General features: G+C 39.2%; 1 protein-coding gene and 1 pseudogene across 2 annotated transcripts in view, besides 1 other annotated feature; one reads left to right on the forward strand and one right to left on the reverse strand.

The window, feature by feature from the left end:
• GABRG3 (gamma-aminobutyric acid type A receptor subunit gamma3) overlaps nucleotides 1-16,718 on the forward strand; it is a 570,804-nt gene that overhangs the window by 295,551 nt on the left and 258,535 nt on the right. The gene's annotated exons all lie outside the window — the stretch shown is intronic.
• Nucleotides 4,621-5,121: an enhancer, noted in NCBI's record as "H3K4me1 hESC enhancer chr15:27516499-27516999 (GRCh37/hg19 assembly coordinates)". NCBI's record gives its function as "activates a minimal SCP1, AML or CMV promoter by ChIP-STARR-seq in naive H9 embryonic stem cells {active_cell/tissue: H9 hESC(naive)}" and the evidence as "EXISTENCE:reporter gene assay evidence [ECO:0000049][PMID:30033119]".
• On the reverse strand, nucleotides 13,587-13,705 carry RNA5SP391 (RNA, 5S ribosomal pseudogene 391; annotated as a pseudogene).

The following is a 16,718-nucleotide window of genomic DNA, read 5'->3' on the forward strand; positions in this document are numbered from 1 at the left end:
ATATGTTTTACATCTTCTGCCAGATTTATGCTCATGTATTTTACATTTTTGATGGTATTGTAAATGGTATTTTTTTATTTGAACTTCTAATTGTTTGTGGCTAGTATATAGACATACAATTTATTTTTGTATATTGATATTGTATCCTGAAACTTTGCTAATACCTTTCTTTATAGTTTGCATAAGTAATTATATCATCTATGAATAACTACACTTGTACTTCTTCCTGCCCAATCTATATGTCTTCTATTTCTTTATTTTTTCATGTGTTATTACATTGGCTAGAACCTTCAATATAAAAGTTTAACAGATGGAGAGCAGATATCCTTACATTGTTCCTGATCTTAGGGGGAAAACATCTAGTCTTTTACTTTTTTTTTTTTTTTTTTTTTGAGACAGAGTTTTGCTCTTGTTGCCCAGGCTGGAGTGCAATGGCGTGATCTTGGCCCGCTGCAACCTCCTCCTCCTGGGTTCAAGCAATTCTCTTGCCTCAGCCTCCCAAGTAGCTGAGATTGCAGGCATGCCCCACCATGCCTGGCTAATTTTTGTATTTTTAGTAGTGACAGGGTTTCACCATGTTGGCCAGGCTGGTCACGAACTGCCAACCTCAGATGATCTGCCTGCCTCAGTCTCCCAAAGTGTTGGGATTACAGGCATGAGCCACTGCACCTGGCCATCTTTTACCTTTAGAGTATCATGTTAGCTCAAGGATTTTTTTTTTTCTTTGAGACTGTGTCTTGCTCTCTTGCCCAGGCTGGAGTGCAGTGGTGCAATCATAGTTCACTGCAGTCTCAACTTCCCAGGCTCAAGCAATCCTCCCACATCAGCCTCCCAAGCAGCTGAGACTACAGAGGCCACCAAGTCCAGCTAATCTTAAGAATTTTTTGTAAAGAGGGGTTCTCACTATATTGCCCAAGCTGAGCTCAAGGAATTTATAGATGCCATTTATCTGATTAAGGAAGTTCTCTTCTATTTCTAGTTTACTGAGAGTTTTTTTTAACACAAAAATAGATGAATTTTGACAAATTATTTTTCTGCATCTATTGATATGATTATATGCTTTCCTTTTTTAGTTTATTAATATGATTACTTAAATTATTGCAGTGAATTACATTAATTGATGAGCAGATCCTAGGCCAACCTTACATTCCTGCATTAAACCTCACTTGATCATGATGCATCTTCCTTTTTATGTGTTGTTGGATTCAATATACTATTTTTAAAAAAATTGCTTCTATCCCCAGTGAGGTATATTGCTCTGTAGTTTTCTTTTCTTGCAATGTCATTTTCTGGTTTTGATATCAGGGTAATCCTGGCCTCATATAATGAGTTGGGATGTAGTCCCTCCTTTGTAGTTTTCTGGAAGGTGTGTAGACAGTAGGTTTTATTTTTTACTGATATTGTTAGTACATTCACTAGTGAAGTCATCTTGACATGGAGTTTTTTTATGGGAAGAATTTTTACTGAAATTTCAATTTTAACATAGATATAAAGATACTCAGATTATCTATTTCTTCAGTGCAATTTGGCCATTTGTGTTTTATAAGGAATATGTCCATGTCACTTCAGATACCAATTTATTGTCATAAAGTTCTTTAAAATATCCTCTTATTCTCCTCTTAATATAAGTAGAATCTATGGTAATGTCACCTCTTCTGGTTTTTGATACAACTAATTTGTCTTCTCTTTTTCCTGCTCAGTCTGGATATAGATTTGTCAATTTTATTAATCTCAAATAACCAGCTTTTAGTTCAGTTGATTTTCTCAATTTTTTTATTTCATTAATTTTTACTCTGATTTTTATATTTCCTTTCTTCTATTTTTTGGAGGCAGATGTGGTATCAATTTGCTTTTCTTTTTCCAGTTTCTTAAGGTGAAAGCTGAGGTGATTGATTTAAGGTCTATCTTTAATATTGCCTTTAGTGCAATATATTTTCTACTAGTTCTGGTTTAGATACATTCTGCATGTTTTGCTATGTTGTATTTTTCAAATTCATTTCAAATATTTTATCTCTGTGCAGTTTGCCTTCTAACACTCTGTCTTGCAAACTCTACCCAACTTGGCCTTCCCATACTCTCAGCTTCATTTCTTCACCTCAAGGAGTCCTCTTGGCTTCCCCCTGGGTGTTCCTTTCTCACACTAAGACCCAGAAACTCTTCTAAGCCAGTTAGCTGGGACAATCATAGGGGTCACCTCCTTTGATTTTCATTTCTCAGGGATTACTGAACCTCGTACACTGTTGCCCAGGGTCTGTCTTGCAAATCTCTTGTTTCATTTATCTTGTTCATTTTTTGTAGTTATTTCAGGCAGGAGGGTATATCTAATCCTTCTTCCTTCATCTTGGCCAGAAGCATGAATCACATCCTTCACTTCTGCCAGTGTCCAGCAGGCATGCCTCTCAGCTGGACTACTGCATCGCCTCTCCACTGCCCCCTAACCAATCTGTCATCCTCCTGCCAGGTCAGTTGGCCTCACCCAGAACTCCTCAGTGGTATCCGTGATTTCAGTGTAATATCTACACAACTTTAATTTGTAACCAATACTTTTTTAAAAGTTTCTATTGGTCTACTTTATCCTGTACCTCCCTTAGGCCCCCTGGACCTGCCCACCACCACCTGATTCACTAATTTCAAGTGACATGTTGTTCTTGTTACCCTGTGCTTTCTGTGTGTGCTGTTCTTTTCCTAGCATGGCCTCTAATTCCAGGTTTTCCCAGAAAGTTCCTATCCTAATTTCAAGCATCAGCTCAAAGTTGTATCCTCTAACCATCACTTCCCCACACTGTGTTCTCGCTCTTGTGTTTGCACTGCATTTTCTACATATCTCCCTCCCAGCAAGTTTCATATTTTAAATGAATTTTCACACATCTATGTGACTACAAGACTCTAAAGCCCTTGAAAGCAAACCACAGCATTTATATTTCATCTTTTGTGTCTCAGGCCCTGCGTAGTCCTGACATTAATAGGTGACATGAGTACATTTATGGGCTAAAACATAAGTCAGCTTGAAATCGGCCTGAGGATCATGTATCAAAAGGCATCACTGGGTCAGCAGGAGTGGTGATGGGCAGCCGAATGATCTTTCATTGTTAATTTTCATATATATATATCCATATCTGTCTATCTATCTACATGTCTGTTACAAATATATATGCCTATATTAAGTTTTAAGAATCTTGGGAAATATTTTACTAATATAAACTAATATTAACTATAATATTCACTAATATTAGCTATGTTATTGAAACATTGAAATTTGAATACTTCTGCTATGTCCTCTTATAGAGAAGTGATTCCCTTTCTACCCAAAATTCAAAGAAATTCAAGTCCATTGCAAAAGGGAAGTCAGGAATAGATAATGAGTGTTCTAGATAGAATCCAAAATAGCAGGGTGTAGAGTAATATAAAAATGGTGACAATAATAATACAACTCTTAGAAAAATGAATCAAGTTTTTCTCCATTAATATTATGAATGATGTGTGTTTGGGCTTAGGATCTAGAAATGTCTCTGTTGCAGGAGAGAAAAGCCATGAAGAGGAGGTGTGTAGATGTCTGATAATTGATTTTTGTGTGTGTGCCTTATGTCTTTAAAATACGAACGTTGGTGTTGGTGTGGAGCTTGACCGTGCCAGTTTGTTTAGTAGAGTCCCTCAACAGCTGGTCATGTGGCCCTGTTTGTTCGACTCAGAAATCATAGCCAGACAGATGGAGAGGAAAAGTTCTATTGAAAGATAGTAAGTGAAGTAAGCCCTGCACAGAAATATTAATACTGCCTGATGTCACTCATATGTGGAGTCTGTACAAGTTGATTTCACAGAAGTTGAGAGAAGAATCGTGGTTATCAGAGGCTAGGGAGGGCAGGGAGAAATTGGAGAGGTTGTTCCACGGGTACAAAGTTACAGTTAGAAGGAATAAGTTCTGGTGTTCTGTGACCCAGTGGGGTGACTACAGCAAATAACAATGGAGTGCGTATTTCAAGAGTGTTAGAGATGTAACTCTAAGAGTTATCACCAAAAAGAAATGGCTAAAGTGATAGATATGGTCACGATCCTGATTTGATTATTATACAGCTTATACGTGCACTGAAAGATCACCCTTACCTCATAAATGTGTAACATTATTTCATGTCAATCATAAATGAAAATGTAATTTTTAAAAAGGTGATGCACCATGATTCACTATCCAGGACCAAACATTATAAGGGGAATGGATTAACTCAGGCCATTCTTTGGGGGAATGGGTGGCCAGGAAGAAACAGTAGAGGAAATTCAACGGATGAATTCAAGGTCCTGGGTGGTGAGGATTGTTATTTGTTGTGATTTTACAATAACTTTAAGGACTGAGATATGGAAGCCTGAGCAGAGAGGTGAAGCGCTAACCCTACAGGAGTTTAGCTCTCTGTCCCTCTGTCCTCCCATGCCAGGAGGTCCTGCAGACAACAAGGAGTACCCGAGAGGACAAGGGAGAAAGGCTGTTCCACAAGTGAGTGCTCCCTGCACTTGCCCTGCACGCTGAAAGGGCTTGTCCCGACATCCTGACCCATTCTCCAGCCCTGCGACAGACCTTTGAGGTGTGTGTGGCTCTTCCACCAGAACTGCCTCCGCGGGTGCCTCTCGCTGCCACCCGCACTCTGTCCTCCTCGTGCTCACTGCTTTCCACGGGTCTTACGCAGGGAGCTGCGCAAGCTGGTATGCCAGGTGCTGCAGATGAATGAGGCCTAGACCACGCCCTCGGAGCTCAGGCCATGCCCTCAGAGCAACAGGCCACGCCCCGGAGCCCCCAGGCCACGCCCTTTAGGAGATCTCCCCAGAAGCTGGGGTGAGGGGTACAGAAGAGGATGGCTGCTGGGTATGCAACCTAGAGTCAGTCAGTCAGTCACAAACATGGCAGGAAAATAAGCTGTCTGTAAGTACCTACTCTTACAGCCTCCCCTGGGAACCGTGTGGGAGCAGGTGTGTGGTGGCTGGCACAGCGCCAGAGGGACCTCCTGCACCAAGAGCCAATGCACCTTAGATCAGGAGAGAGGAGAGCGGTCAGGGACGCATAGGCAGGTGATGGGGAGGTCTGGAGGAAGCTTTGCTGTTAAAACTTGTCTTTTCCATCATGCTAACTACTGTTGAGGTTCACATCTAACTTAAACTGGGGTGGCTTAATTGCATAAGTATCCCCTGGGAGCTTGTGCATTCTGGGGCCCTGGGTGGTTCTAGTTAACCAGTTTCCCCAGAGGTGACTATTCCGCTTCCCTCTGACTCTCCTTGAGGGGAGTCTCAGGCCCCGCCTGGTGCACAGGCAGTTTGTTCAGTGGCACTCACAAGAGGGAAGTGGGGAGCAGCTGCTGGCATGGGCCAGATACAGTCAGGTGTCAGATGCCCTGGGCAGGGTTTCCATCCAGACTGTCCTCAGAGGCTAGTGGATTTCTTCCCTCTTTCTTATACTGTATTCATTCCCCGTGGGTAACTAGGTGTTTCCTTGACAAAAGGAGTTTTAGCTATTCTCACAAGGGTGAGCTTTAAGGTTCATGGAAGTTGCATCTGTGCTGAGGTGGCCTCATCTCTTGGGCACCCAGAGTATTTAGGTTCCACTGTCACAAAGACTCAGTCATCACTGGGCCAGGGTTGGAACCCCCAGACGGGGTTGTGTCATATTGCTAAGTGACATACAGTTTGGGCTCTGTGAGATACCTGAGTGGGCTTTATGTTGTCATTGATCTTAGAGCCATGGTATGTCTGTAACAGTATAGTACAGTGGTATTTTCAAAGACCTCTGCAAAGAGGTGTCTATGACTGCACCTACTCTAAGCTGTTCCAAAGAGTGTTTTTGTATTTTTTTGAAAGTCTGACTGCTAAGTCAGGGCTGAATCATCCACACCAAGACAAGAGTTAAAGACTAATTAGAGTGGCTACAGCCCACAGTGCACCATTCCAGCCACCTCTGAAGGGAGCAGAACACTGGTGGGGGTGTGCTTTGCTCTCATTCAGAAAGAAGAGTGCTTCAAAAAGGCATTGCTTGTTTTATTTTTTTCCTTCAAGAAAGTAACAGAAAAAAACCCTGGCTGCTCAGAGATTCAAAATAGAATCAGGACAAGTAGACATTATGAGTTTTAATAATGAGCTAATAGAAAAGTGTTTTCACTAAAATATTTTACCATTGAAACATATACCCTACAACAGGCATTGAAAGATTCTGTCATATAAAGGGTCATAGAGTAAATATTTGGTCTGTTGCCGCCACTCATCCCTGCACTTGTGCAAAAGCAACCATCGACTACACATAAACAAATGAATGTGGCTCTGTTCCAATAAAACTTTATTTACCAAAATAGGTGGTGGGCTAGATTTGGCCATAGTTTGTTGACTCTTATTCTACAATGATAAAAAAAAATACAAGGAGTAAAAATGATAGAGAAATGTGTCCTCTAAGCCCAAAGTAGAATTGTCTCGGGATTCTATCTGATACATGAAAGATGCTGCATTTTTTGGAGTAACTGTATACAGTTTATTTCAATCATGTGTCTAATACATTTTTCTTTTGGATTATAAATTTTGTCAATAAGGTTCAGGCTACAGCAAAGAAACTGAACAGTCAAGGGCTTAAAAAACATAGAAGTTTATTTTTATTATTTCATGTAATGGCCCTGCTTTGAGCCATCAGGTCAGTGGAGTGACTCTGCTCTTGTAAATCAGAAATCCAGGTTTCTAACTTGTTTTGATCCATCACTACCAAGACATTAACATGTTCTGCATGGTTGAAACCAGGTCGAGTCTGTCTTCAGTAGGTAGCAAGAACAAAGGGAGCACAGAAGAGGAAGCTGATGGCTCAAGGCGCAGAAGTCGTATGAGCTATTCTCAGTCCACTGGCAAGAAATGGTTAGTCTTATGCTGTGTTGCATGGGAGATAAGGAAGTACAGTCACCTGAACATAAGACAGGTAACAGGATTATCTGCCTAGTCAGCTGCTGTATATCAGTGCCTGGTGCAGTGCCTGGTTCATAGTATCAGTATAATACACATTTGAATGACTGAAACATTTTCCCGAGTATAATCCTAATCACATTTCCCAGACTTTCTTATCTGGTATATCTATTATCTATTGTTGCATAATACATTGCACCCAAACTTAGCTTAAAACAACAAATGGGATCTTGCCATGTCTGGGGTTCAGGAATTCATGAGTAGCCTAGCTAGGTGGTTCTAGCTCATGGATTCTGAAGAGGTTATAGTCAAGCTCCTTTCTAAAGGTTCAGCTGAAGGAGGATCTCCTCCCAAGCTTGCGCATGTGGTTGTTGGTGTGAGACCTCAGCTCCTTACCGTGTGGATCCTTCCATAGGCTGCCTGAGCTTCCTGACAACATGGCGGTCATGATGCTCTGGAGAAAGAGACATAAGCATTCCAGGAGGACACAGCCTTCACTTATGTATTGTATAGGATCAAGGACAGAGTAGTGACTGGAAGTGACAATCCATGTGCCATTGCATGGTCCGACTGCTTGTCCTGCTGCTGAGCTACCCAAAGACTGTGGTATTTGCTTTTCTGTCTTAGTTTGTTTAGTGTTGCTGTAACACGACACCTGAGGCTGGGTAATTTATAAAGAAAAGAGGCTTGTTGAGCTTCCACAGGCTGAGAAGTTCGAGGGTATGGTCCTGGCTTTTGGCAGGAGCTTTTGTGTCTTGTCATAACATGGCAGGGAAGGTCAAAGGGGAAGTGGACAGGTACAAAGAGGCACCAAATCCAAGGGCTGTCCTGCTTTGCAACAACCCACTCTCTCAAGAACCAGACCAGCCTCACCACAGCAAGAACTCACTCACTACCATGAGAACTGTACCAAGCCCAGTGGCCCAAACACCTCCTATGGGCCCCACCTTTCCATACCACCACACTGGGGATCAAATTTCAACACGAGTTTTGGTGGAGACCAACAAACCATATCCAAACCATAGCAACCCTCAAGACTCACCCACTCCTCCATGGAGCACTTCTACCCTCATCTGATTTACCATCCTTCCTACTTATATAACACAGACATTATACATGCATAGTGCTTTGCTTACTTTTAATGCCCAAACAATTATTATATCATCCTACCTAAAATGACACTGCAATGAGTCATGACAAGTAATAGCATTTTCATTAAAAAATAAATTAGTCTTAAGGCACCACCTTATGAGAGATTTTTTTAATTTAAATATTGTGCATTTTCCACCAGTTCTTAAGTTAGTAAAGTGTTTTTGGTAGACATAAAGACCAACGCCATAGAAATGCCGAGAGTTTCTAAACTGAAGTCTAGTGAGGGCAAGAGGATAGAATTAGAGCTGCAATAACCTGAACTTGGAGCCACAGCGTGCTGCCTGAGCATAGTGAATTTGCTTAACCATGACCTCTAGGATTTAAGCAACAATAAAATGTAAGGATTTTACCCATGATGAGGGGCATTAATGAACTCAGCCATGCATGTGACAGTCTCAAATGTTAAGTAGATTTGCAGTCTATGCATTTTAAAAGTCCCCAGGTTGTCAAGTAACCTTGAGCTTTTGGTGAATACCTAAGTATCATTGTTTAAAATTTCATGGTTCTTTCTATATGTACCTGCTATCCCTTTGAATTATATATGTAGTTTTATCCCATTCTGGCAGGGGGTAAGACCAGCTTTCATATAGCAAATACTTTAAATATTGTAAAATAACAATATTTTTAGTATCTTAAACATTTTGTTGAGATAGAGCTTTTAAACTGGTCCTACTCAGTCAGGACCTATGGGAATTGAATGGAGAAAATGGTGTTTAATGAGCAGTGTCCAGGAAAGTTCATCCCCCTCTTGGGATATACGTGTCTCAGACTGCATCAGCCAGATCAGCCAGTTCAGTTCCCCCAAAGACTGGACTGAATTTCTGATGGTTCCCAGTGCTCATCACTCTTCCTCTGTCTGTTTTGGCATGGGAGAAAATGTATCTTCTTGTTAAGAACAGACAAATGATCAGTTGTCCTCAGTGTGTGGCCAGGTTTCGCATTCCTTTTCCTATGACAAAAGGAAACTAATCATTTAAATTAAAATCACCAAGAGAAATGTAAACATTAGCCCCTGATTTCTGTGACTGCAGGTCCGATGGGGAGGCTTATGGCATTATTTAATGGTGAGAGCAAATGACAATGAGCACAAGGAGGTGGGAGAAAGTAGGGGGCTCTGAGATTGGAGTGGCAGAGAGATCCTGTTGGGCAATAATGACCTTCTGCAGGTTTCTGTTGACTGCACATCAGTCTCTGCATCTGCAAAAAATATGCATGATCCTGCAGGACCACAGGACTTGTGGGAACAAATAAGAACCCGCAAATGAGAACGAGCAAAGGCTGTTCATTCAGAGTTGCTTTAGTAAGGGAGATCAGCCACCATCCCTTGCATTTGGCAGAGACTTAAGAGCAGGCAGGGTGGGAAGGCTCTGTGGTAGAAGGGAAGGCTTTGGGTAGGCCTTCCCTTGAGGAAGCTGGCACAGGCTAACAAAAAGCCAGGCATTCTTTGTGATGGATTTGGGGAACATATTTGGCTTTTTCAGGTTGGTTCTGAGTTGGAAATGACAGCACAAATTAGGGAAGCTTCAGTTATTGACAGATCCCGAATATGCTGTGCCAATGGTGCAAATGTGGTGGTTTAGTTTCCCAGGCTGTTTGCTGCAGAGGTTTCCCAGGCTGTTGGCTGCAGAACTCAGAGTTCTGTGGTCTGGCCATTGTCCGTTGTCTGTTCTTTCAGACTAGAATATTTCATGGATTAAATGAGATGCTGCCAAGCACCCAGAACAGCACTTCATGCACAGTAAAGCTTCAGTGTACTGTATGATAATTTTAAATTATTAAGAAATAAATAAGGCTGGGCCGAGTTACTAAGAGAGTTGGGAATGGGAATGATTAGCTTTTTTTTTTAAGGAATTTTGTTTTATAGTTCACTAATCATAAAGGAACAAGAGTGGCGTGGTGCAGGTCTGTGTTGCCTTCTTGCTCATAGCATCTCAAAACAGGAAATGCCTGGTCCACACAATGCATTAAAGGGTAAGGAAAACATTTGGACAAAGCAAAGTCGAAGCAGGCTCCAAATTTGGATTGTGAGACACGTATTTTATGTAGCTTGTGTAGCTATCATTCCATGCCATTGGGATCACATGTTTTATGAGGGTAGTACAAACACTTCTATTCTATATCACTTCTTCCCAGCTAAAATAGAAACAGGAGTTTGATTGATTGGCTATCTGGGAGAAGTTTGTGGTTTGTTTAGATGAAAGTAAAGGAAGAAAAAAATCAGAACTTGGTAACTAATAAGATGCTCAAGAAGGGAAAGCCAGAGTGAGATAGAGGTCTGCAGCCAGGGGCTGACATCCTTGCCTGTGGCAGGGAAGGAGGAGAGAATCTGCTGGGAAGGTTGGTGATGAGGGCAGGTCCATGTATAGGCTGGCAACAGAGAGACATCTTGCAAACAACTTCATTTTATTTTCCTGATGAAATCCAGAAAGGCAGTTCTTTGAGAAAGGGGCAAATAAAATGAACATTACAGAAGAGGATTTCTATGAGCGGTCATGCAAAAAGTGTGACAGATGGTCACCTGCTGTTTTCCAGCCTTCTCTCCCTTATCCACTTTGTTCATTGTTTACCTGCTCCCTAATAACTATGTAACATTGCAGGGTATAGACATTTGAGTACAAACTAGTTTATATTGTTTAATTATGAAGACAGAGCTTGTAATTAGTTACCTTAAATTCTTTGATGACTTCTGAGAATCAATGATGCCTAACTGGAGGAGATTGATAGCCATAATTAGTGGAATCAGTATAAAAATATTCCCAGACGTTCATTGTTCCAGGACATAAAACTCATAATTATATAATGAGCTATTGATAAACTGACATTGGTGACATTGGTGACTGCAATGGATTCAGCCTTTTTCTCTACTTTTTCTCCTTATTCTCTGCTTCACAACAGTACCTATAAAGATTACAAAAGACTTTGACCTTAATTCTAACTACTGTAATTCTGAATAACTGCAATTAAATCTGCTACTGTTCAACAATAAAAAAGGAAGAAATTTAGAGGCCATTAAAGCATTATCTTTTATTTCTTTAACTTTAAATTTTTATATTATTATAGTTTAAGAGGAATTTGAAAAAATAGTACTGAAAGGTCTAGGTACTATTTACCCCACTTCCCTCAGGGACCACATCTATCATAATAACTATAGTAACAATAGCCAAACCAGAACACTGGCATTGGCACAATTCACAAACCTCATTCAGATTTCACCAGCTTTATACACACGCATCTGTGTGTGTCTGTATATAGCTCGATGCATTTTTTTTTTTTTGAAACGTAGTCTCACTGTGTTGCCCAGGCTGGAGTAAAGTGGCATGATCTCCACTCACTGCAACCTCCCCATCCCGGGTTCAAACGATTCTTCTGCCTTAGCCTCCTGAGTAGCTGGGACTACAGGCATGCACCACCATGCCCGGCTAATTTTTGTATTTTTAGTAGAGACGAGGTTTCGCCATATTGACCAGGCTGGTCTCAAACTCCTGACCTTGTGATCCGCCCGCCTCGGCCTCCCCAAATGCTGAAATTACAGGCGTGAGCCACTGCGCCTGGCCTCGGTGCATTTTTACTATATGTCTGGTGCCTGTAACCACCACTACAGAGGAGACACAGAACTGTCTTGTCACCACAAGGATCTCAGGAAGAATATGTTCTTGTCTGTTCCTTTACAGCCACACCCATGCCACCCCCCATCCCTAATCCCGGACACCACTAATGTGTGCTCCAAGAGTGGGTTTTGAATTGAATTGTATATTAGGTATTGCTCTGAGATTGCCTTTCCTCACTCAGCATAATTCCCTTGACATCTCTCCAACTTATGTGTATCAATAGTTTGTTCCTTTTTAATCCTGAAGAGTATTGCCTGGTATGCATGCCCAACAGTTTGTTTAACCACTCACTCCTTTAAGGCCATTGGTGTTATTTTGGATATTGTGATTATGAGAAAGCTGCTGTGTATAGGTTTTTGTATGGGCATAAGTTTTCATTTCTCTGACATAAAAGCCAAGAGTGTAATTTCTGTGTAATATGGTAAGCGTATGTTGAGTTTTGTATGTTTGCTTTTGTTTTGTTTTGTTTTGTTTTTTGCAGTAACTACCAAGCTGTTTCCCAGAGTGGCTGGATCATTTTACATTCCCAGTAGCAATGCAGGAGAAATCTGAGTTCTGTGCCTCCTCTCCAGCCTGTGCTGTTACGTTCTGTTTCCTTTCTAAGTTTATGGCTTTAATTTGCCTTTCCGGAACTAAGGTTAATGAAGTTGTATGCTTATTTGCCATCAGTATCTCCTCTTTTGTGAAATGTCAGTTAGTTTCTTCTGCTCATTTTCTAAGTGAATTGTTTTTGTATAGTTGGGTTTTGAGAGTTCCTTATATATTCTAGATATGTGGTCTTTGTCAACTATTTTCTCTTAGTTTGTAGACTGTCTTTTCTTCCTCTTAACAGGGTTTTGGAGAGCAAAGATTTTAAATTTTGAAGTCCTGATTTATTGATTTTTTTCCTTTTATGCATTGTGTTTTGGATTTCATGTAGAATAGCTCTTCACCTTGCTAAACATCTTGAAGATTTTCTCTTAGGTTTTCTTCTCAAAGTTTCATAGTTTTACATTTTGCTTTTAAGTCCATGATCAATTTTGAATTAATTTTTGTGTAAAGTATGAGACTTAGTTTTAGGTTCATTTTTTTCCCTATGGATATCCAAGTGCTCCAGCACCATAAATTGAAAAGATTCTCTTTCTTCAAACGAATTGCTTTTGCACTTTTGCTGAAAGTCAGGTGGTTATCCTTTCATGGGTCTATTTCTGGATTCTCTACTCTGTTTTATTGATCGATGTTTCTCTTCTTCTGCTAGTACCACACGGTCTTGATTACTGTAGTTGTATGTATAAGTCTTATAGTCAGGTAAAGTAATAAACTACTACTTATTCTTCTCTTTAAAAAATTTTTTTAGCTACTCTGATTTCTTTGCCTTTCTATATAAATTTAGAATACATTTTTATAGCTATGGGATTTGGGTAGATATTATATTAAACTAACAGGTTAGCGTTATGATTAGAGCAGTGACATCTGAAATATTGAATCTTCCAATCCATGAAAAAAGGATGTCTTTCTGTTTATATCTTTGATTTTTAAAATTCGTGTTTTTTACTTTCAGCATATAGATCCTATATAGATTTTGACATTTTTAAAGCTATATATTTCATATTTTACAGTGATTGGAAACTGTAACAGGTTTGTTATTTATATTGCATTCCTGAAATGAAATTCCTTTGGTAGAACTAGTGATTTTTTTTAATTAGTTCATTTTTTTCCCCTACTGATTTTTTTCCATTACTTCTTTCTTTCTAATTTCATTGATTTCTGCTGTGATTTTTATATTTTCTTTGGAAAAATTTTGCTATTCTTTTTTCTTAAGGTAGGAGCTTAGATTATTGATATGTTTTTCTTTCCTCTTTTAAAAAATGTTTTTATTTTTAAATAAAATGAATACAAAAGTTTAAAATGTTTTAAAAACAATTTTAAAATTTAAGCCTATAGCACCTGGTGTTTCCAGGCAGTCTCCTATTCAAGTGCTGACCAGACCAGGCCCTGCTTAGCTTCTGAGATCAGACTAGATTGGAAATGTTCAGGGTGGTATGGCCATAGAATCTTGTTTTTTAGTGTGAACATTTTGTGCTACACTGTTCCCTCTCAGCACTGAGTTAGCTGCATCTCACACAGTTTGATATGTTTTTTATGTTTTATATTTATTTTCATTCAGTTGAATGTATTTTATTTTCTTTGACTTCTACTTTGACCCATAAGTTATTTAGAAGTATGTTTTATAATTTCCAAATGTTAGCAAACTTTCTTGTAATCTTTCTGTAATTACATTTCAGTTTGAATCTGTTAGGATCAGAAAACAAACTGTATGGTTTCAATTCTTTTAAATTTGTTGAGGTTTGTTTTAGTGTCTAGGATACGGTTTATGTGGGTAAATGTTTGATGACTGCAAGAAAATAATATCTTTTGTTGGTGATGGTAAATTCTACAAATGCCAATTTAAGCCCATTCATTAAATATATTGTCTAACCCTTTTATATTCTCACTCATTTTTTGACTAATTTTTCTGTCAAAGTTGAGAGAGGGGTGTTAAAGCCTCCAACTATAACAGTGGATGTGTCTATTTCTCTTTTCAGTTTTATCAGTTTTTGTTTCATATATTTGAATCTGTGCTGTTTATGTATATACCTTAAGATTGCTGTGTCTTCTGGATAGTTTGACTATTTTATTCTTAGGTAATGTTCCTCTCTGACCTTGGTAATTCTCTTTGCTCTGAAATCTACTTTATCTTATGCTTTTCTGTTGATTAATGCTTGCATGATATATCCTTATCATCCTTTTACTTTCACCCTACCTATATTATTAAATTTCATGGAGTTTCTTGTAGACATCATGCTTTTAAATGCATTCTACCAATATCTTGTATTTGGTGTATTCAGATCATTATATTTAATGTAGCTATGTATGTGCTAAGCCTTCCCTCTGCTATTTTATCACTTGTTTTTTTCTTTTTCCCACCTTTGCCTGTTTTTCCAGATTAAAAATAAATAGACTTCATCTTTTCAGGACAATTTTAGATATACAGAAAAATTGAAAGGATAGCATCTCTCTGTTTTTTATTTGTTTCATTTTCCTGTGGTTAATTTTTTTTTTTTTACAGTTACACTTTGATTTACCTATAGTTTTTAGGGGGTATATCTTTTTGTATAGTTTTTTAAATGGTTTCTCTGGGTGATACATGATACATATACAACTTTTCAAAATCTGTTGGTACTTTGTATTTTTCGGACACTGTACTTTTCCTACTTTGATTTAAATATAGAAATATTACTTTAATTAGGATAAATTTGAATTTATTCCTTTCTTTTATAATATGTTTGTCTTAAATATATCCTCTACATACATAGGGTAATACAGCAGACAATATTATAATTTTTAATAAATATATTTTTTAAAAAACTGAAGAGGAAATAATAATCTATTATATTTACCCATATTTTCACTCTTTCTACTGTTCTTAATTTTTGTGTTCTAAATTTTTTACTTTTATTATTCCCTTTCTGTTTGATAAATTTTATTAAGCTGGCAAGAAATTTTCTCACTATTCCTTCATTTGCAAATGTTTTGTTTTGACCTTCATTCCTAAAGACATTATTTGCTGTGCACAGAATTCTGGGTATGGGCATTTATCTTCTGTTAGCATTGGAAATGCTATACCTTTTCCTTCTGGCCTTCGTGTTTCTGATGAGAAACCTGTTATCATCCAAATCATTGCTCCCCATGAGTGTTTGTTTCTCTTCAGCTGCTTTCAATATTCTCCCTTGGTTTTGGTTTTCAGAAGCTTGATTTTAATGTGTCTTGGTATGGATTACTTTGGGGTTAGCCTGTTTGGGGTTTGCTCAGCTTCTTTAACTGTAGGTTAATGTCTGTTGCCTAAATTCGGAAGTTTAATTGAGTAACTTTCTGTTTTATTTTCTTTCTTCTCTCCTTTCTTGACTCTAATGATGTGAATGTCATATCTTTTGTCACAGAGGCCACAAGTCCCCGAGGCCCTGCTCTTCTTATTTCCCCAGTATCTTTCCTCTGTCGTTAACATTGGGTAATTTCTCTTGCTCTAGCTTCAGTTTACTGATTGCTTCCTCTCTCGCATCCATTCTTCTATTAAGCCCATTTAGTAAGGTTTTAAAGTAGTAGTTACTGTCTTTTTCAGTTCTAACATTTCCATTTGGTTCTACTTTGTATCATAGGTTTTTTTGTGTATGCGATTTTTCATTTTTTCATTTGTGTCCATAGAGTTCTTAACTGCTCACTGGAGCAATTAAATATTTCCTCTACATACATGCTTTATAATTCTTGTCAGATCATTCTAATGTCTTGTCATCTGGTTGTTGGCTTCTGTTGATTATGTTTTTCCATTCAAGTTGAGATAGCATGAGTTAGCATCTACCTGGTTTGGTAGCATGAGTGATTTTCAATTTTATCCTGAGTATTATGCGATGAAACTGGATCTTCTACCTCATCAGTCCTCTGCTAAAATCGTGCTAGGTGGACACCCCCCCAGCCTCACTGGCCCCAGGTAGGGAGGGGCATTCCTAACAGAAGGTGGTGGAGACGGTTCAGGCTACCCTTGGCTCCCTCTGACACCTGAGAAAGTCCTGCTATTCTCAAGTATGTAGATGATCTATCTTAAGTATATAGATGACACTCCACTGCAAGGGAGCAGGGTGCTTTGTTGTGCTGAGTTACAGTGGAAATTCAGGCTGCGCATTCACCCCCAACCCACGTCATCCTCTTGGCAAGGTGGAGGGCTTTTCCTACTGCTGGATGGAGCTCCAAGTCCAAGATTCCCACTTGGTCTCTGCCAGCACCATGAAGGGGTTGGGGCACTTTGTCACTGCCAAGCATTTGTTGATGGTGTTGGGGTGGGGCATGAATTTTCTTCTGGTATTTTGATGGAGTAGGATGTCTACTAGAAAAAGTTGTCTATCTTGGCCGGGCACGGTGGCTCATGCCTGTAATCCCAGCACTTTGGGAGGCCGAGGCGGGTGGATCACCTGAGGTCAGGAGTTCAAGACCAGCCTGGCCAACATGGTGAAACGCCATCTCTACTATAAATAC

Source organism: Homo sapiens, chromosome 15 (assembly GCF_000001405.40).
Source record: "Homo sapiens chromosome 15, GRCh38.p14 Primary Assembly".
NCBI lineage: Eukaryota > Metazoa > Chordata > Mammalia > Primates > Hominidae > Homo > Homo sapiens.